The 19,470-nt window shown below is 48.6% G+C and overlaps 1 long non-coding RNA gene across 1 annotated transcript, besides 9 other annotated features; it reads left to right on the top strand.

Annotated features, from left to right (window-relative positions):
- Nucleotides 254–433: an enhancer, noted in NCBI's record as "active region_8615". NCBI's record gives its function as "activates an Ori minimal core promoter by ATAC-STARR-seq in GM12878 lymphoblastoid cells {active_cell/tissue: GM12878}" and the evidence as "EXISTENCE:reporter gene assay evidence [ECO:0000049][PMID:35858748]".
- Nucleotides 723–1,017: an enhancer, noted in NCBI's record as "tiled region #7662; HepG2 Activating non-DNase unmatched - State 6:EnhF, and K562 Activating non-DNase unmatched - State 5:Enh". NCBI's record gives its function as "activates a minimal TATA promoter and a strong SV40 promoter by Sharpr-MPRA in HepG2 cells, with weak activation in K562 cells {active_cell/tissue: HepG2 | K562}" and the evidence as "EXISTENCE:reporter gene assay evidence [ECO:0000049][PMID:27701403]".
- Nucleotides 1,294–1,343: a silencer, noted in NCBI's record as "silent region_5870". NCBI's record gives its function as "represses an Ori minimal core promoter by ATAC-STARR-seq in GM12878 lymphoblastoid cells {active_cell/tissue: GM12878}" and the evidence as "EXISTENCE:reporter gene assay evidence [ECO:0000049][PMID:35858748]".
- Nucleotides 1,364–1,433: a silencer, noted in NCBI's record as "silent region_5869". NCBI's record gives its function as "represses an Ori minimal core promoter by ATAC-STARR-seq in GM12878 lymphoblastoid cells {active_cell/tissue: GM12878}" and the evidence as "EXISTENCE:reporter gene assay evidence [ECO:0000049][PMID:35858748]".
- Nucleotides 2,676–2,735: an enhancer, noted in NCBI's record as "active region_8614". NCBI's record gives its function as "activates an Ori minimal core promoter by ATAC-STARR-seq in GM12878 lymphoblastoid cells {active_cell/tissue: GM12878}" and the evidence as "EXISTENCE:reporter gene assay evidence [ECO:0000049][PMID:35858748]".
- Nucleotides 2,880–3,024: an enhancer, noted in NCBI's record as "145 bp enhancer 48 fragment used in the MPRA reporter construct; PK_construct_57". NCBI's record gives its function as "activates an SV40 promoter by MPRA in HepG2 cells {active_cell/tissue: HepG2}" and the evidence as "EXISTENCE:reporter gene assay evidence [ECO:0000049][PMID:23512712]".
- Nucleotides 2,945–2,958: a transcriptional cis regulatory region, noted in NCBI's record as "HNF1 motif; enhancer activity is reduced when this motif is scrambled". NCBI's record gives its function as "necessary for full MPRA enhancer 48 activity {active_cell/tissue: HepG2}" and the evidence as "EXISTENCE:site-directed mutagenesis evidence [ECO:0005528][PMID:23512712]".
- Nucleotides 6,270–6,771: an enhancer, noted in NCBI's record as "H3K4me1 hESC enhancer chr14:69247495-69247996 (GRCh37/hg19 assembly coordinates)". NCBI's record gives its function as "activates a minimal SCP1, AML or CMV promoter by ChIP-STARR-seq in naive H9 embryonic stem cells {active_cell/tissue: H9 hESC(naive)}" and the evidence as "EXISTENCE:reporter gene assay evidence [ECO:0000049][PMID:30033119]".
- On the top strand, nucleotides 7,352–14,233 carry LOC107984709 (uncharacterized). The gene is made up of 2 exons (XR_001750793.2): nucleotides 7,352–7,467; nucleotides 13,783–14,233. It is a non-coding gene; the product is annotated as an uncharacterized LOC107984709 (long non-coding RNA).
- Nucleotides 18,530–18,699: an enhancer, noted in NCBI's record as "experimental_36402 CRE fragment used in MPRA reporter constructs". NCBI's record gives its function as "activates a minimal promoter by MPRAs in K562 erythroleukemia cells, with activity observed for both the introgressed and non-introgressed 14:69235652 variant alleles {active_cell/tissue: K562}" and the evidence as "EXISTENCE:reporter gene assay evidence [ECO:0000049][PMID:34662402]".

Below are 19,470 nucleotides of genomic sequence, written 5' to 3'. Positions count from 1 at the left end.
CTGTGGGTGGCGGCATCTCTCATCCCTATAAGCTAAGCCTATAGCTCCCTTCCTTGATGCTGGCAGTTTGCTGCGCTTAGAGGGGACGGGGTGGAGGTTTTCTGCAAAGGAGCCTGTACTTCCTGCTGTATTACTTCTGAAAAGACTGTGCAGTGTGTTAGTTGTTGGCTGAATAGCAGCGGGCCCAGCCTTGCCGACACTTGTGTGGCCTCTGCGGTTCTTCTGGGGAGCCAAGGCTCAGGGCCTTCCAGTCCGCCCCGTCCAGCCTGTGCTCTTCATTCCTTTGGATGGTGTTTGGGGTGCCAAAATGATAAAAGAGGACCTAGCACTTGGCACACTTGCAGGCTTGGATTTGAGTGAGTTCTTTTATTGGGGTGCCTTGGGCTCATTTTGCCCATAAGAAAGAAATTTACCTCAGTACTGGCCTCTCAACACCTACCCGTGTGGGGAGGGTATAAGGAAGCACTGCCTGCTTGGAGAGGAATGTCCAGCGGGGTGAGGGGCTCAGTCACAAGGAACTGGGAACTGGGACTGGATTTGACATAGCCTTTTGGGTTTGGAGGGCTGTTAAGGGGAAGTGAGTGTTAACACTGGCCAACACAACACAGCAAGTCACCAAGGGTTCCCACCACCTTAGTTACAATCTCAGGTGCTATGCAAAATTAGGTATGTCGTCATCTTGGGAAAGGTGGGGTCTCCTTGGCTAGATGCACCCCCACCAAGGCTAGATGACCACTTAAGAGGTGGCATTTCACCCGCCGGAGGAGTTGGAACTTTCACAAATCTTGAGTGTGAGCCTTGGGAGGATTTATTTGGGGAGAGGCAGAGATTGCTATTTGCAGCTCACTTGCCTTTGGTTCCTTTACACCCAGGAAGTTTTGGGAGTTCAGCTGAGTCACCATGATTCCACCAGGCCTCTTCCGAAGGTCTGCAGCAGACATTGGGCAGGCCAGGGATGTCCCTGAGACTCGAAGACCTACCTCTACTCTCAACTCATTTCCCTGGTCATCAGATATCTACTGGGGGTCAGGGGGTGAGGTAGAAAAATAGGGACTATTACCTGTTCCAGGGCAGGGGCTGGTGGTTTAGGAAGGGGAAAAGCAGCCCTTCTTAGGACTGGAGTAAACCTAGGCCTCTTGTCCCTTAAGGAGGAAATGAACTTTGTGTGTGTGTGGAGGTGGTGGTGGTGGTGGTTGGTGGTGGCATGTGATCTTCCTTTCGGAGTAAAAGCAAAAAAGACATTTAATCATTCACCTTGAGCTCATTCCCTGCAGGCATACCTGAGCATGTGGCAGACACCTTTCTAACTTCCCCTCTCATGGTGACGCTGGTTAGGTTCCTAGAGGCCCAGGCGTACCTCCTGGCCAGCCCTGAATTTCCTCTAGAGGAGACAGTCCTTTGACTGAGTCAGTCCTTTGACTTTGTCTAACCAAGATAGAGACATTGACTACTGGAGGCCCTGGAGGGTGGGGGTTGGCTGTAAAGCCCAGGGGAGACTCCTTATCATGTGGGGAAGCTCCATGTCCCCGGGTCTTAACCCTTTACCTCTACCTAAGTGTCTCCCTGGGGAACTCACTCAGGCTGGGATTTAGGTAACCCAGGCCCATGTGTGGTGGCCACAAGAGCCTGGTTGTGTCCCATTGAGTCCTTAAAGTTAGAGGAGATGGCCCTTGGGAAAGGGAACAGCAGAATATTTCAGGCCCATTATTTCTCCAGGATGTTAGAAGAAGGGGCCTCAGCAGCAGCCCTGTGCTGTAGTCTGGCAGGGAGGCCAGGGAAGTGTGAGCCCAGAACTGGCAAGAAACCCCTATCTCTGAGCTCCTCTGCAGCTAGGAAGGATAGGAACTATGCTGAGGGAGTTGAAGGGAAGGCTTTCACGAGGGAAGTGGGTCAGGAAAGGCCAGGCCAATCCTGGGGCACAAAGCCTTCTTCTCCACCCCTTACCCTGGAGGCCAGGGTGTCTTGAAGGCTGGGTTTAGGGGCCTGCACCAGGTCTGCCATGGATGGGTGGGGCCTCTGTGGCTACTGGCCCTGCAACCCACTCTCTGGCTGTTGGATGAAGATCTTCTCTTGGAGCAGCTCAAAGAAATGAGCTATTTTGGCCACCGAGCAATGCCTTTCCTGGCCTGGAGGCCTCATTCTCAGGAGGAAGGCTATGGTTCAGTGACACTCATGAAAGGAGGGCTTTGAGGGCCAACTGAGATTGTGGGTTAGTCTGAAGATGGGTTTTACAGTCAACTGGATCACGAAGCACTGGTTACCGAAGAGGCAGGGGTCATGGCAGGGGAAGGATCCAGGGCGTGAAGGAAGAAGGGGTGTTGAATGGAGCCCTTGGACCAGGGTTCAAATCCCAGCTCCCCTTCTACCAGCTTGTGCTTTGGATAAATGACTCAACCTTGGATTTTTCAGCTGTATCTCAAGGAGTTACTATGAGATCAAGCGAGCCATTAGTCATGACAGCTCTTTGTAAGTGCCAGGTAGTCCTCTAAGAATTTCCTGTGTGTTAACTCATTGAATGATCATAATGACCCCACGGAGGAAGCTCTATACTGTTCCTTTTGTATAGATGGAGAAATTGGGGTGCAGAGAAATTCACTAATTTGTCATACAGGGAGTCGGTGTCAGGATTTGAACCCAGGCAGGCGACCTCCATCACTATGCTAGAGTGTTGTAGGCTGGGACACTGGAGCAGTCCCTGGCACACAGTAACTGCAAATCAATCAGTGTTAGTTGCCCTCTCCCTTGGCCTTTTGTGGAGATTCTGCATGAACACAGGAGGCAACGAGTTGGATTAGATGATTCTGCACACACCCCCTCCGTTGAGTGCCATGACCTCACCTCCCATGAGGCCCTGCATTGGCACATTTGGAGGACGGAGTCTGGGAGGAGGGGGTAGGCCATCCCCTTGGACTTTCCCCTTCTCTGCCTGCCATGAGGTGGCTTCTGTTAATGATCAACAGACCAAAGGGTGCCCTAGGGCTGCCTCAGGGAGTTGGCTCCATGCCCTTCTTCCCCCGGGGTCTTCCACCCCTGTGTGTAGCCAACCATTTAATCATGTCTGGGTGGACTGACTGGAGGCTACCTGAGTTCAGAGGGGGAGGAGGTGGGGAGGTTAGCCAGGCCCCTGGTCACCCCCTTGCTGCCTTGCAGGTGGCCCTTCTAAGGCCTGCCACTTGCCTGCTGGGCAGAAGGCAGAGATTCTGAAGGTTGGAAAGCAAGGCAAAATCTCAGCCTTTTCTTGAATAAGGTCAGCACTGGGGGTCTCACCTCTTGATAGGTAAGGCTGGTGTTGAGAAACCTGGCCTACAATGCTTTCTGTGGGAGTCCCAGATGGTTACAGCTGAGTTACCATCATAGAAAACCAGACTCTGAGGAGCCAGGGCAGGGGCTGCCCATAAGAGCCAGCTGCTGGTCAGTGGACAAGGATGCCTCCTCCACATTGAAGCTGTTTGCAGTTGTTCTGAAATGTTGGCAAAGCCCAGGTCTCAAAGTACAGGGCTGTGAGTGATGACTGTACCTGTGCTATCAGCTTGGGTTGCAATGAAAATAAATATGGGCAATCGCCAAAACTAAGGCAATTTTTTCAGCACCTGGAGCCAGGCAGGTAGCTTCCCCCTGACTCCAAATGTACCTCAGGGAGAAGGAGCTCATGACCACACAGGTCAGCATTCATTTCCGCCAATCCCAGTATTCCAGAGCTATGGGAGGCTCTATTGTCCGTGGTAAGGAGCTGGTTTTGGAGTTACAGGGACCTGGGTTCAAGTCCCTGTTTGGCCTCAAGGTCACTCTGTGACTTCAAGCTAAACACTTAGTAAGAAGTTCAGATCCCAGTTTCCTCATTTGTAAAATAGGATGATGGTGATAATGATGATGATAATGACACCTAGGTCAATGGATAAACAAACAAACTGTGGGATTGTCACATCATGGAATACTATGCAGCTATATAAAAGAACAAATAACTGGTACACAACAATGTGGAAGAATTGCTAAAACAAAGTTGAATGAAAGAAACCAGCCACAACAGAGCACATATTGCATGAGCCCATTTGTATGAAGTTCATAAACAGGCAACAGTGATCTATGATAATTGATATTTGATTAGAGGATAGAGAATACATGTAAAAGTTCATTGACCTGTGCACTGAAGATTTGAGCACTTCACTGTAAGTTATACTTCAAAAAGACAAACCTATACAGTTGTCGTGAGTGTTAATACATGTAAGGAAAAGAAAAAGAAATTCAGTACCTGGCCCATTATAGGCACTTAATAAATTGTGGCTGGTCTTTGTAATAGCAACAACTGGATGATGCAGGTACTGTTCTAGTCCCCTTTTATAGAAGGAGGGAATGGTCTCAGAGCAGGTGAGTGACTTGCCCAGGGGATGTGGGGCTTGAATCCCACCCCAATGGCTCTCAAGCTTGCACAGTTTCCTACTACCTAATACTGTCCCTCAGTGAACAGGTGCTGTTTCTGCAGGAAAGCTAAATTTGCAGTAACCCAGGCACAACGAAGTTGACTAATTAGTAAGTGTAATCATCTGCATTAGAAAAGTTTTTCTTTTTGCAGATTTAAAATAAGCCTCCTTGCTAGTCAGTACCTCCTACGCCCTGTGGGAGGTAAAGGGAGGCCGAGTTGGGGGCTAGCTGGGCTCTGAGCGGCCGGAGAGTGGAGAGCCTTGACTGTCTGGTGGGCCAGCATCCAGAAGCCACTGTCCTGGGAGCCACCCCTGTGGGCTGCTTGCCTGCCTGTCCTGGCCTATCCCTCCCCTGGGCTGATAAGGGCTTAGAGGGGCCTTGGGGAAGGGCTGCCTGGCCCAGCCCCTCTTTACTGGCCCTCAAACTCAAGGGTGCATGGAAGCCTTACATGGCTGTCGCAGCACCACTTCCACCCTCTGTTCCATTCTACTTTTTTGGGAAGTGGTCCTTGGAGCTCCACAGGAAGATGTTCAGCTCAGCCAGTAGATCCAGCCACCCCAAGGAGCTGGGAGTGAGTTCTTGCTGGGCTGACCTCCTCTGTGCAGTGTCTGCACAATTGGCTCAGCCTCAGTGCTCTAGGAAGGGCCCAAGGCTTGGGGTCAGACAGCAGGGCAAAATTTGAAGAGATACTTACTCTCAGGGTCTTACGAATGAGTGTCTCCCGAAGTTGCACACGCTAGGCTTCTGACTTGCTTTATTCTCATTCCAGCCCTGTCAGGCGGCCCTGGATTTGTGATCCTGCTCAGCCACTTTCAAGCTGTTTGATCTTGAGCAAGTTGCTTAACCTCTCTGAGACTTGTTTTTCTCCTCTACGCATGGGGTACAGGAAGCATACTCACCCTGCCCACATTATAGGGCTGTGGTGAGGATCAGATGAAATGGAGAGGAAGGAGCTCTGGAAATGATAAGACCCTAGACAAAGGTCATATTGAGAGTGTGGGAGCAGCTTGCAGTCCTCAGAATGACAGAGCCCTTCTCTAAAGATGTTTGAGTATCAAAACGTGGTGCTTTGCCACCTTGGCTCACTCTCTCGATTTTCTGCCTCAAACTCACATATGGTGTGTGCGTTATAGGTGGTTCTCTTGAATTTATATAGTAAAAATAATAACATGAACCAGCATTTGTGAAGACTTACCATGCACACTGGGGGCTGGGCCTCCGTCACATGGTTACGTTTGATAGTACCTGCGAGTCAGTGCTATCATTAGCCCCATTTTACAGATGGGGAAGGTCAGGCTCAGGGAGAACTCGCTATTCCCAATTGCACAGCTGTATACCACTGAGCCGGGACCCAGGTCTGTTGGGCTGCAACACCCAGGCTCTCAGCCTCCACTTTTAAAAGGAGGCAGATGTCAAATGGCATGGGCCACTTAACAGGTCCAGGTTCCGATGTTCACCCTCCCCTGGGGACCCATAGTCATGGAGGAGAATTTCTCCTCTCAGCCCGTCCTTTCCTGAGATGTCTCCATCACATGTGGTCACCCTCTCTGCAGCCCAGGGGCCTGGGGTAGTGAGCAGAGGTTGGGCTCGCTTTCTGCCTCCTTTACAAACGGAAATGCTGAGGTGCAACGTGGTGTTGGCAACTGCGCTGGGCTCACCTTTGGGTGCAGCAGTGGCTTTGAAGCCACGCCTGGTCTCAGTGGTGCTGCTGCCTGGTTGGGGTGGAGGAAACCATATTTTATCACTCACAGGGGTGTTGTCTTGCATGATGTGTGATCAGGAGGGAGGCTGCTAAGGGCTAAGCTGATTATTTTCTAATCAGTTAGCAGCTTTATAGTCTGCTTGAAACTTGTGACCTTGGGGCTGGCTGTAGAAGGCACCAGCATGGTTGCTGGCATCGGTGTTCCCTCTTTTGGTGCCTTGTTTTCTGAGAGATACTGTCCATTATGATTAAACTGCATTCTAGCAGTTCCTCTCCATTCAAGGAAGTCATTTATTCCTGCGATTGCAGGGCTCAGAGGGGGAAAAATGGTAGATTCTCAGAGCTCCAGCCAGCAGCAGAAGCCAGCAAGGGAGGAGGAAGGAGGCACGGCCAGATCAGCACAGCCAGCGCTCAGATCCTCCCCCAGCTGCCTCAAGCTGGGGGAAGGAGGGCAGGGCTCTGAGGCTTCCTTCATTGGCTCAGGAAGGCCTGTCTCCTAAACAGTTTTTCTTCCTTTGTTGCTAACCATTTTACTGGGCCAGCCTAGAGGGCTCTGAGGCATTAGGAGCAGCCAGGCAGTTGGTTCAGTCAGACTATTAGACTTGGGTAAAAGCTGAAATAGTGCCAACTTTGGTGTTGTCCCTAACCCCTGCTTCTCTCTGTGCATCCTGTAGCTTTTGGGTTGGTTTGGAGCAGGAGCTGCATCTTCCCACACAACGGATGACACCTGCAACCCAAACAATGTGCCCACACTTGAATGGAAACCCCTTCAGCAGCGTATGGTGCTGGGGACCTTCTGGGGAGATCGCTGGAGTGCAGGTTCACATGAAAGGGAGTTAGGGAGCTGGGTTTTCTCTTCATAAGTATGCACTAACTATCTCTGGAGGCTTAGAAGTCCATCCCCACATACAAGCAAACCTGGGGCTTACGCATTGTTGCAGCTGCCACCAGTTTGGAGGCTGAAGGGAACAAGTCCTACCCTGGCCATTGCTTGCTGATGAAACTTGATGGTCACTTTCTATTTCCAGGCTTCCATTTTCTTCTCTGTGAGATAGAGGGTGGGAGCCAAAGAGTAGTTTGTTTCATGATTCCATGAATATCTTAGAAAGCAAAATGCACAGAGCCAAATTTCCTTTGCCATGCCGAATGACAGGGCAACGGAACTGGCAGTGTTGTTGCTATAAAACCCCAACTAGAGTTACAGACGGAAGGGAGTTGGTATGTCCTGTCACTGATGTCAGGTGACTCACACAGACGGGTTTGGGACTCTAGAAGCTGGCTGTCGGAACATCCTTTGAAGTGGTGGTTTTAAACACTTTTATGAACTGCAGGCTGAATGTGAACATGTAAGTCATTCTCCTGGTATGTCGTATTTTCCCAAACACGCTATTTCAAATTGAAGCATTGCAGCAACTGTCTTAATTTAGGATGTGCTTTGCATTTGAACATGCTACTTATTAGCTGACTGGTTTTTGTGATGCTCAGAGAATGAGTTACTGAAGTTTGAAGTCACAGGGAGGCAGATTTTGGCTCAGTCCGGGGAAGACCTTTTTAAGACACTGAGCTGGCCTTTGGAGGTAGTGGAGTTCCTGTTGTTAGTAATGTTCAAACAAAAGCTAGGTGTTCCCCCTACCCGACTCTCCCTCTCCTGGGTTAGGGACATTGCAGAGTGATTCTCTGACATCCTATCCAAAGCAGCCCCCTCCTCCTCACTCTCTATCTACCATTCTGGTTTAATATTTCAGTACTTATTACTCTCAGAAAGTGCCAAGTTCATTTAATTCTTGACTTGTCTGTCATTATCTCATCCAGCTTGAAGGTAAATCTGGTGAGGCAGGAGCCTGGGCTCTTGTTAATTTTTTTGTTTTGTTTTGTTTTGGTTTGAAGCAGAATCTCACTCTGTCACCCAGGCTGGAGTGCAGTGGCTCGATCTCGGTTCACTGCAACCTCCACCTCTAGGGTTCAAGTGATTTTTCTGCCTCAGTCTCCTGAGTAGCTGGGACTACAGGCGCCTGCCACCATGCCTGGCTAAGTTTTGTATTGTTAGTAGAGACAGGGTTTGACCATGTTGGCCAGGCTGGTCTCGAACTCCTGACCTCGAGTGATCCATCTGTCTCAGCCTCCCAAAGTGCTGGGATTACAGGCATGAGCCACCGCGCCCAGCCTCCTGTTCACCGTTCTATTTCATGTCAACGCTGATGCCTGGCACTCAGCAGGCACTTACCTACTGAATGGATGATTTTTCTATTGGTACAGGTGTCATAGCTTCTAAGAGCCCACGATTCTAAGGGATTAGCCCTTCAAAAGCTGGCTGTGGGTGTTTGAGGGAGCCGTGGTGTCCTGAGGTTAATGAGTAGTGGAATGAGTATTAGGAATTGGACATGTGGCCCCTCTCCGGCTGTTTGTCCTGGGGTGAGTCACCCGACCTTTTTGGGTCTCAGTTGCTTCATTTGTAAAAAGACAGAGTTGAATTCAGTTATCTTCAAGGCTCCTTCCAGCTGGACTATCTTGTGATTCAAGTACTCTGTGTTTGTACTCACTCCTCTGTTCTCAAACTGTTTGTTCAACTCTCTTTTATTAGGGGTTCTAGGCCTGTCGAAACTGAAAAAAAAAAAAAAAGTAGCCCTGGGAAGCAAAGAGTAAATATTATACAAGTGCAAATGAATTACTATTGTATTCTGTATAACAAATTATAAGGACTGCAGAGAGACTCCAAGGGAACTATTTAATTAAATAATCATCAGGTTAAATATAGCTCATTCAACCCTGGCACAAATGAACAATTGAGGATTTCTTTCCTGATATGTTTTAGCCATCTAATAGTGTGCTCAGCCACAACATACCCACTATTCTCTGATTTTAAATATACTTTATAAATGGGATCAGTTTATACTTTCTTTCTGCTCTCTGTGGTCTCTCCAGGAGATGGCTAGTAAGCCTGGATGTTTCCATTTTACTGGCGAGAAAATGCAAAATAAGCTATTCTTAATAACAGCATTAAAACAACACTTGCAAAGGATGGCACTGAATGGTGGGTGCGTGTTGAAGTGGAAGGCACAGAGATGGCTAATTTTTTTGTTGTGAAGTAAATTTTGTTGGGAAATACATTTTCCTGTTTCTGCATATGCTCCTGGAAGAACTCTCCTCTTCTGTATCCTCAAGTGTTACCCAAATGCCACACACAATAGCAACCAATTCAGAATGACCTCTGTGATGAATCAGTCAACACGTAAATGGGTATTGGGTACTAATGCAATGTAGAAGGTGCTGTATGGTTCCAAAAAGCATAGAATGTGGTCCTCATGCATAGAGTTTACATTTTAGTTGGTGAGGCAAGACATAAACTAATGAAACCATCAATTAACCAGATCAGATTTTGTCCTGTGGATACAAATAATGGATACAATACAATCCATACAAATTTGTATAATCTGTACAAATATGGATACAATAATAGACTAACTTGAGAGCAGATAATTAGAGGATAGTACAATTTGTGATACTCTGGGCCCCTGGCAGCATCTGGTTTGGAGAGAAGTTCTCTTGTAGCTCCACACTGACCTGGCTCTGGGAGTATCAGAGGAACCCTGCATACTTCCCTGAGTCACAGAGACTCAAGGAGTTAAATGTAAATGGTGCTCCCTGGAGCTGTGTATCTTGGTGTCCCTGCATCAGAAGAACTCAGACTGTAGAGACCTAGCAGACAAGAGCAAAGGAGAGTAGTCTTAAGGTCACTGCCCATGCGGTGGAGCCAGCCTACAGACCCATTAAAATGTACTGTGCTTTATACAATATTTCTAAATATTTCGAGCCAACATTTAAAAATCAAAAGATTTAATAATAATAATAATTATTCAAATTTCTGGCGTCTCTGGGAAAACTGGGGTATCTGGCCATAGACGGCTCATATTCCCATTTGGCATCAGCCATGTGGATGTAAATAGTATCTGTATTTGTTTTTTTTTATAAAGTGCTCTCCAGTTTGCCCCAGTCCCCACCACTCCCTATGTGTCCCCAGGACCTCCTGAACTTTCTGTCCTCTAATGTTAGAGAAATTTTTCTCTGTACCCGTATCTCTATCAAAAAATGAAAAATAAAAACTCAAGGGCTGCGTGTTTTAAAAAAAACAGGCAATAGGAAAGACTATTTCTTTTTTTTTCTTTTTTTTTTTTGAGACGGAGTCTCACTCTGTCCCCAGGCTGGAGTTCAGTGGCGCCATCTCAGCTCACTGCAAGCTCCATCTCCCGGGTTCACGCCATTCTCCTGCCTCAGCCTCCCGAGTAGCTGGGACTACAGGCGCCCGCCACCACGCCTGGCTAATTTTTTGTATTTTTAGTAGAGACGGGGTTTCACCGTATTAGCCAGGATGGTCTCGATCTCCTGACCTGGTGATCTGCCCACCTTGGCTTCCCAAAGTGCTGGGATTACAGGTATGAGCCACCGAGCCCGGCGGAAAGACTACTTCTTCATGCAAGAAAAGGGTGGCTATGTTGAAGGAATGGAGCCCACCAGCCTCACTCATGTCCTTCCCCACTGGGCTCCTGTGCCAGATGAGTTTGAGAGAAACATGGCAGGTTATATAACAGAGGCACCACCTCAAGGATTGCCTTAATAGTTGAGGTGTATTAAGGGTTTATATGTGCCATGTGCTACCTCATTAATCCTTCCAACAGTGCTGTGAGATAGGTACTGCTATTATTCCCTGCCTCCCAGAGGAGGAAACAGGTGCAGAGAGGTTAACCAACACGCCCAAGGTCACACAGCTACTTAAGGACGGAGACAGGATTTGAATGCAGGCCTGCCTGACCTCAGAATCCATGCCCACTTTTGCTTCCTCTGTGCTATGAGTCTGTAAGACAGATGCCCCTGGCCTGGGCTGATACATACATGTAGTGTCTGTGTGTATGTGTGTATTGTGCCTCCCACTAGAATATAAGCTACATGAGAGCAGAGCTTTGGTCTGTTTCATTCCTTGCTGTCTCCCAGCATCCAGAGCAGTGCTTGGCAGGTAACAGGCACTCAGTAAGCATCTTTGAATGTACGTGCTGGGCAGACAAACAAATCCCTGATCCCTGGGAGGCTGGGGCTATATTTGCTGAACTCTTTCCTCTGAGTACTACAGAGGGGCTTAGGTACTGATGGGGGCTTAGGTTGGGCCTTTTGCCAGATTTGGTTAGGGTAAAAGGGACAGGTAGGGGATAGCCCAGCTTGCTCCACACCTTTTTGTTCCAAGTCTGGGTCTTCCTCTTTTCCAAGTTTTTCCTTCTCCATCCTCCAGAGCATGAAATGAGACAGCCACGGGACTGGAAAGTGAAGGACAAAGCATTAACTGTTTACAAAGACAGATGGTGGAGGAAGTAGTTCTGCGGACCACGTGGTGGGCTGTCCTGGGGTGCTTGTGCTCAGGGGCAGTGGGAGTGGGTTAGTGGGCAGCTACTTCCTGACTGAGGTGGGAGAAGTAGCGAAACCCAGTCATAAGGGGCTTGATGACAGCAATGGCTTTGAGTGGTGGCCCTGTCTCTGGTGCCCATCTGCTTTCGTTGCTTAGAAGCAAACCCCAAGATAAGGATTTGAATGGAAGTAGTTTGAGAGGTAATTTCAAGAAGCACCACTAGGTGAGTGGGAAAGTGAGTCAGAAAGAGAAGGCAGCCAGTAAAGGGTTTGTATCAAGTTAGTTATCACTCTGGGTGTCTAGGCCTTGATGCCGCTGGGAAGATCGGGGAGCCAGTGAAGGACACATGCCTCAGAGACAGCACATCCAAGTGGTGAGGGAGCTGGGGTATTTATACACTAACTCTCTCAGTCCTGGGTTGAGAGCTGCTTGACACTTCTGACCTTCTGTGAGGGTGGCTAGACAGAGCCCACAGGCACAGGTACAGGGACTGGCAGGTGGAATTGGGCAGATATGCGCTGAAATGGTGAGGGTGAAGGGATGTGGTGGGCCAACAACAGCATCTGCAGCCCCTCTTCTGTTCATAGAGGCTGAGCATCACAACTGGAGCCCAAGAGGCTTGACAGAGGTACTATACCTGCCCTGTGTCTGTTAGCTTTTGCTACATAATAGACCACCCCCAAAATTAATGCTTAAAATGACAACCACTTATTTAGCTCACATTTTAGTGGGTGGGAAATTTGAGCTGGGCTTAGCTAGGTGGTTCTTCTGGCCTCATCTGGGCTTACTTATGTATCTGTGATCACCAGCAGGTAGGCTGGGGGCTGGTGGTCTAAGATGGCCTCGGCTAGGACAGTTTATTGGTGCTCCACGTGGTCTCTTATCCTACCGCCCTAGCTGGGGCTTGTTCTCATGGTGGCAGCAGCACTCCAAGAGAATGAGTGTGGGCAGGCAAGGCTCCAGAGGGCTAGATTTGGAATTGGCACAACAGTACTTGCATTATATTTCATTGGCCAAAGAAAATCACAAGGCCAGCTCAGATTCAAGAATAGACTCCACCTCTCTGTGGGAGAAACTACAAAGTCATATTTAGGAGGATAGATACAGGAAGAGGAATGCTTGTAGTCATTTTTGCAAATAGTCTACCACATGCTCATGCCCTTAGGCATCTTGTGATCTGGTGGACAATCAAAACCAGTGTTTATTCTACTATTTTAGGCACAGTAGGAGTCAGAAGCTGTTGGCTAGAGTGTGGGAAAGTCTCTGTCCTACAGCAGCTTCTCCACTTATGCTTTCTGTTAAACGTTGTCCTTTCCTTTGTTTGTTTGTTTGTTTGTTTTGGAGATAGAGTCTTTCTCTGTTGCCCAGGCTGGAGTGCAATGGCACAATCTCAGCTCACTACAACCTCTGCCTTCCAGGTTCAAGTGGTTCTCCTGCCTCAGCCTCCTGAGTAGCTGGAATTACAGGCGTCCACCACCACGCCTGGCTAATTTTTGTATTTTTAGTAGAGTCGGCGTTTTACCATGTTGGCCAGGCTGGTCTCGAACTCCTGACCTCAGGTGATCCACCCACCTTGGACTCTCAAAGTGCTGGGATTACAGGCATGAGCCACCGTGTCCAGCCTTGATCATCTTTAAGAAAGCAATGACCTCTGCGAGATAACACATTATGCCTCTACTTATTGAGGATTGTGTGTGGGTGGGGAGAGCTGAAAAGAGCCAATCTGAGAATTAGGTTGAGTCAAAGTCATGTAATTTGAATTTAGCAGTTTATTTTTTTCTAAAAGTTTGTACTTGCTTATCTAATAAGATTTTTTTTCCTAATAGAAGGTATTTTTGTGGAAAGAACCAGGTGTGTATCACATAGGACATTACTGCTTTCCTTGGTTTATCAATCCTTAAAGGAAGTTTATTTTTGAGTGTAAGAAAATGGCAGCCACTTCAAATGCAGGTGGCATCATCAGGAGGTATTAGTTTTCCTCCCCACATAAAACACAGAAGAAATACACTTACAAAAAGCCAAGTAAAAGAGCTTTTAAACTGGACAATATGGTTCTGCTGTTTACCTTGGGTGGAGTGATAGCTCCGGTGGAGATGTGGGGAGGGAGAGAGATGTCCAGCCATGGTCTGTTCCTTGGGCTGCCTGGGGTATATACCTCCACCTTTGGGTCATGCACCTCCCCACTGCCCCACAGCTCATGTTCAGATGGATCTGCCAGCCTCCCGAAGGTCTCTGGCCTTTTCTCATTCACTTCACTTCTCTTTCTTAGTTACCTGCTGCCATGTAAAACCCCACTGTGTTCCTGCGGCATCATCAGGCTTGGAAAAGAGCAAGTCCAAGGGTTCTCCCAAGGTCTGGATCTATCTGCATGAATGGCCCTCACCTGCGGTGCTCCTGACGCATCTTGGAGGCCAAAGGAACTTTCTTCCTGGCTCTTGGCAGCATTGACTGGGGATCTTCAAATGGCCAACCAGTTCACAGCCATTGTGAACATTTATGTAATAACACTTCATTTCACCTGTTCCTCACAATGGTCCCTGCTTTACAAATAGAGAAGTGAAGCTTCTGGAGGTCAGATGATTTGCCCAAGGTTATGGAAGTAGTAAGGAGTGGAAACCAAGCTTTTTAATTTCAAATCCAATGCTCTTATCACAATACCTCACTATTAATCCCTAATCTGCCCAAATATTGCATTAAAAGGAAATGATTTAGGGAAGAGATTTGAGGGTTGTCTCCTTTGAAAGTATACTTTTAGAATTTTCCAGCCATTCTATTCAAGGCATCAACCCCAATTCCCCTTCTGTACATCCTCAATGAGTGACAGCTTACCTCCTCCAGCCCATACAGCCCTCCCCTCCCCACATAGGGCCAGTGTCTTAGCATCTTCCTCCCCGCCAACCACCGACTCTGGGTGGTGGGTGCCCAGTGTTGAGTCAGGGAACTTGGGAAGCTGCAGGGTTAACAGGCCCATCATCCCCTGCTGTTAATTTCACTAGAAGCACTGTTAGGGGAGAGCAATCTTACGGTGCCTATCTACCTACTATGCAGCAGGAAGTACATTTTGAAGATTAGTATTTTTTATCTTTCAAAACAACGCAAAGAAATTTTTGCTTGTCGCAGGTGTTTTCAGAGACAGCCCTGAATCTTCTAGAGATGTCTCCTCAGCAGGCTGTGGGTTTCATTGCTGAAATACAACCCTCATTATCTGAAAAGCTCATTGGGTATCTACCATATGTCCCAGGACAATGTGCCACGCTGGTGTTTTTCTCATGTATTATTAGATAACTTTCCTCATCTTTACATTGCTGTTAGGTTACACCCTCCTTGAAGCTCTTGTAGTAAATAATAGCACGTACCTACTATGTGCCAAGAGTGGGGCTCAGACAAGTGTCAGGCAAGCGAGGGGCCTAGTGTACAAAATTTAAGGAGGCATTCAGCTGCTGACCCTGAGACTGAGTGCCTGGTCCTTTGTGAGTGCCGCTGTCACCCTGGTCCCACCCTGGCCAGGTTCTTTTTTATTATTTTATTTTATTATTTCTTTTTTAGAGACAGGGTATCCCTATGTTGCCAGGGCTGGTTTCAAACTCTGGGTTCAAGCGATCCACCCACCTTGGCCTCCCAAAGTGCTGGGATTACAGGTGTGAGCCACCTCACCCAGTCTACCCTGGCTAGGTTCTTTACATATATATATATATCCTATTATCTTCACAATGGTCTCATTTTACAGATGGGCAAGACCTGAAGCATATGCTGGTTAAGAAGCTTGCCCAAGGTCACACAGCTGGTTCCAGCAACCTGCTGGTGAACACTGACATTATGGTATTTGGATTTACAACAGCCCTGAGAAGTAATTGGTCCTATATAATATTGGTTCATGAGCACTGATTGCTCGATTTTCAGGCATTTTGGAAATCAGCGGTTAAACACAGCCATTATTAAAGATGAAATTATATAAGCTTAATCAATTGTATTAAAAACAAATGTAATAACTACCCCAAACTCATCATTTCCTAGTTCTCCTGTGTTCCCTGTCCAAGGGCAAGGCAGAGTGGCTGCTGCTTTGGAGCAAAAAAAAAATCCCTTCTCTGTAGGGCAGGCAGAGGCAGGCTCCTCCCTGCACCAGCCGGAAGCCACTTCTTCCTGTCATTCTCCAGTGCGGATACACTGTAGGAAATGGCCACCAAGGCCGCAAGCAAGAAAAACACCCGCTTCCCATGCTCCCAACATGGGCGGTAGAAAGCGGTAGAAAGCTCCAGGCTGCAGCTCCCCGAGACCTCTCCCTGGGTTCGAGGAGAAACAGACTTTCCACTGAAGTGACACGCTGTAACCCACAGTTTGAATGTTTGGATGGGAGGAGCTTTCACCCTGAGGCTGGAGAAGCAGCCGGTCTACAAGAGAGAACTAGGCTTTGGGTACCTGAGAGGCCTGGGTTTGAATCTTGCCTCTGCCTGGGTGGCCTCGGTCAAGGCATTGAACTTCTCCTTGCCACGCTGGGTGGCCTCGGTCAAGACATTTTGCCACACTGGTTGGCCTTGGTCAAGGCATTTAACTTCTGCTTGCCTTAGTTTTTCCAGCTGTAAAACGGGAGAATACCCACCTTATGGACTCTTATGGAGTTGTTGTTGAAAAATCAAAGACATTGTGTAGAAAGCATTCTAAGACATACATGATGGAAGGCGTGGAATAAATGTGAAATGAGTGAATACCAATAACAGTTATGTGCCAGCCACCATGCTAGGCAAGGAGGATTCCAATGTGAGTGGACAGGAGTGCTGACTCCAGGACTCTCAGTGCAGAGAGGCAGGGAAACAGAGAAGGTGATGGTGGGAGGGCTGGTGCTTTGGTAGCAGCGTGGGGAAAGAGCAGGGAGCACCGGGGTGGGTTCTAACTTACCCTGCCCAGCCACTCTCAGAACAAGCATTTCCTGAGATCTACTATGTGTCTGTGGATATTACCCGGGGTGCAGCTATGACTATGACACAGTCCCTTTTCTTTCAGAAACAGCACTAACAGGCATGAAAGGTGAAATGATTACACAGGCAAGAAAACGCTTAAAGATCAAGGTAGAAGAAATTATAGAGCGAGGAATGTAGTGCCGGACCACTGGAGAGGGCTAAGTAGACAGGGAGGGGCCTCCATTCAGACTTGCTAGAGAGGCTGGCAGGTGAGGGTCCTCTGGGAAGGCCTGCAGTTCTTCTCTGGCTTGTTTTAGCAAAGTGGAGGAGAGGGGAGCGGCAGGGCTGGAGTTTGCCTTCTGCTGTGGTGACGATGCTCTGAGTGTCCAGCTGCTCTTCCCATCCTTGCTGCCGCTGGACTGCCTCTCTCCCTGCCACAGCTTGAGCCCAGGGCTGAAGCACCGCTGGACCTGTCTCCACGGGACCCTGAGGCCAAGCCAGAACACTAACTTGCCACAGTGTCCCTAATCACACTGATTTGGTGTGCTGCAGACATGCAGAGAGAGGGAGTATAGATGCTCAATTAAATCCTTTTCAGGAGAGAGGACAGGGTGGGAGAGGAACTGGCCTTTAGTCACAAGTCCATCTCATCCTTCTGGAGGCTCCTCTCAGTTGAGTCAGGGTGATCTTCCTGGTTTGAAGAAACAGTTTCAGGACAGTTTGGAGGTTGTGTGAGGCTGGCAGGTGAGAAAATGAGGCCCTCCCCATATTCCCCAGCCCTAGGCCTTGCATTCTCCGAGATGCAGGCATGTTCTGGATCTCCCGAGCCTTCTCTTGGTGAAGGGAGTTTCTCCTACAGCACAAGGCCTGCTGTCGGGGCTGAGGTCAGCCACGGCCCCGAGGCTGGGTGGGGGGACAGTAAGCTGGTGTTTAGGGGACATGGCCTCTTGGCAGTTGTGCCATTGTGCCTTAGTAGGAGGCACCTTTTCTCCCCACCATCAACCCGTGATAAGCAATAAAAAAGACATCGACGTGATGATGTCTCATTCAACGATATTCCATGCTCACATGATATTACTAAGGGAACTGTTTTTCAAATTAAGGGCACAGGCCGGCACGGTGGCTCACACTTGTAATGTAATCCCAGCACTTTGGGAAACTGAGGCAGGGGGAATCACTTGAATCCAGGAGTTCGAGATCAGCCTGGGCAACATGGAGAAACCCCGTTCCTACAAAAAAATACAAAGAATTAGCTGGGGATGGTGGCACACGTCTGTAGTCCCAGCTACTCAAGAAGCTGAGGTGGGAGGATGGTCTGAGCCTGGGAGGTCAAGGCTGCCATAAGCCGTGATGGTGCCACTGCACTCCAGCCAGGGTGACAGAATGAGTCCTGTCTCAAAAATAATAAAATAAAAGCCGGGTGTGGTGGCTCACACATGTAATCCCAGCACTTTGGGAAGCCGAGGCAGGCAGATCACCTGAGGTCAGGAGTTCGAGACCAGTCTGGCCAACATGGTGAAACCCCGTTTCTACTAAAAATAAAAAAATTAGCTTGGTATGGTGGTGTGTGCCTATAATCCCAGCTACTCAGGAGGCTGAGGCAGGAGAATTGCTTGAATCCAGAAGGGAGAGGTTGCAGTGAGCTGAGATCATGCCACTGCACTCCAGCCTGGGAGACAGAGCGAGACTCCATCTCAAAAAATATATATATATTATTATTATTAGTATAAAATAAAATAATTAAGGGGCAGAGAAAGAGCAGATTAAATGCTAGGTCTGTTGAAAAGTATGGGATGAGGTGCTACCCAGCACGACCCCCTCTTTTCTGTACTTATCACGGTCACACCTGTGCCTCCATGGCTCTGAGGAGCCTGTCCTCATGCTGGATGTGTTTCCCCTGTGTGCATCTTCATGTTATAGATCATATTACTCTCGGAGAAAGGGACTCTTTCTGGAAGAAATAGGCTGAACCCCACTCTGCTCCTTGTGTGAGGGATGGGTAGGGGATTGGAAGAGAGGCAGTAGAAAGTGGTGATTACAAGCATGGGCTCTGAAGTCAAAAAGCCTGCAGTTCTTTCCTGATGTTGCCCCCTGCTCCTTGTGTAAACTTGGGGAAGTCACTTAACCTCTTTAAGCCTCAATATTCTCATCTGTGACATACGAATGATAAAAGTGCATATCCTCGGAGCTTATGTCATGTGGTGACGGGGGAAACCTGGAGAGGACATCTGGGCACTTCTTGCTGTGGGGCCCTGGGAAAAATTGCCAAACCTCCTGAGCCTCAGGTCTGCTCAGGTGTCCAGTGGCGGGGGGGCATATTTCCAACCCACGTTTCAGAATTGCTGTTAAGGGAGGATGGAATGAGACCTCTGCACACTGCGCAGCACTATGAGGAGCACGTGGGAAGTGCTCACTACATGTTGGCCATTCCAATGATTGCGGCTGACTGTAGTTAGGGCCAAGGGGAACGGACAGAAGGAAGTTGACCTCCTTCGCCCACTGGGCTCTTTCTGTGTTTCTCTAAGGAAACCCAGTCCTGGAGTAGTGAGCAGCCCTTGAGGCCAGGTGGGTTCCTCTTCCCCATGGTCTAACCCTCTCAGGGACACCCTCCCTGCTTCTTTGCCGTCATCAGCTGGGCTGTCAGTCACACTGGGCAGATGTGTAACCACCAGACACAGCAGAAGCACACTCATTTCACAGCCTCCTCGGTTGGGAGTAAACTCCCTGGCTCTGGGATTGTGGGGCCACCTCCTCTCGCAACCTGGGCCACGTTTTCATGTGGTGGGGATGCCCACCACACAGAAGAGTTGGAATTTTCTTGTCTCTCACAGAGCCCCAAACATCTCCCATCCACCCCTTGTTGGACTGGTAGCTAACTATGTGTCTGTAAGTCAGAGAGACTAAGGGCTGGTAGTGGGTGCCGGGTGCGGGTTGTCTGCTCAGCCCTTTCCCAAAAGGCCCCTCTTGGCTGGTTTTCTTGGCTCTCAGCAGTGGCAGGTCTCTCTGACCACCCATCTTCTGCACCACTCAGGGTTGTTGCACTGAGGCCGGTGACCGGCTGT

This window comes from Homo sapiens, chromosome 14 (genome assembly GCF_000001405.40).
Source record: "Homo sapiens chromosome 14, GRCh38.p14 Primary Assembly".
Taxonomy (NCBI): domain Eukaryota; kingdom Metazoa; phylum Chordata; class Mammalia; order Primates; family Hominidae; genus Homo; species Homo sapiens.
The sequence above is the reverse complement of the archived record's forward strand: the minus strand, read 5'-3'. Positions and strand labels throughout refer to the sequence as shown.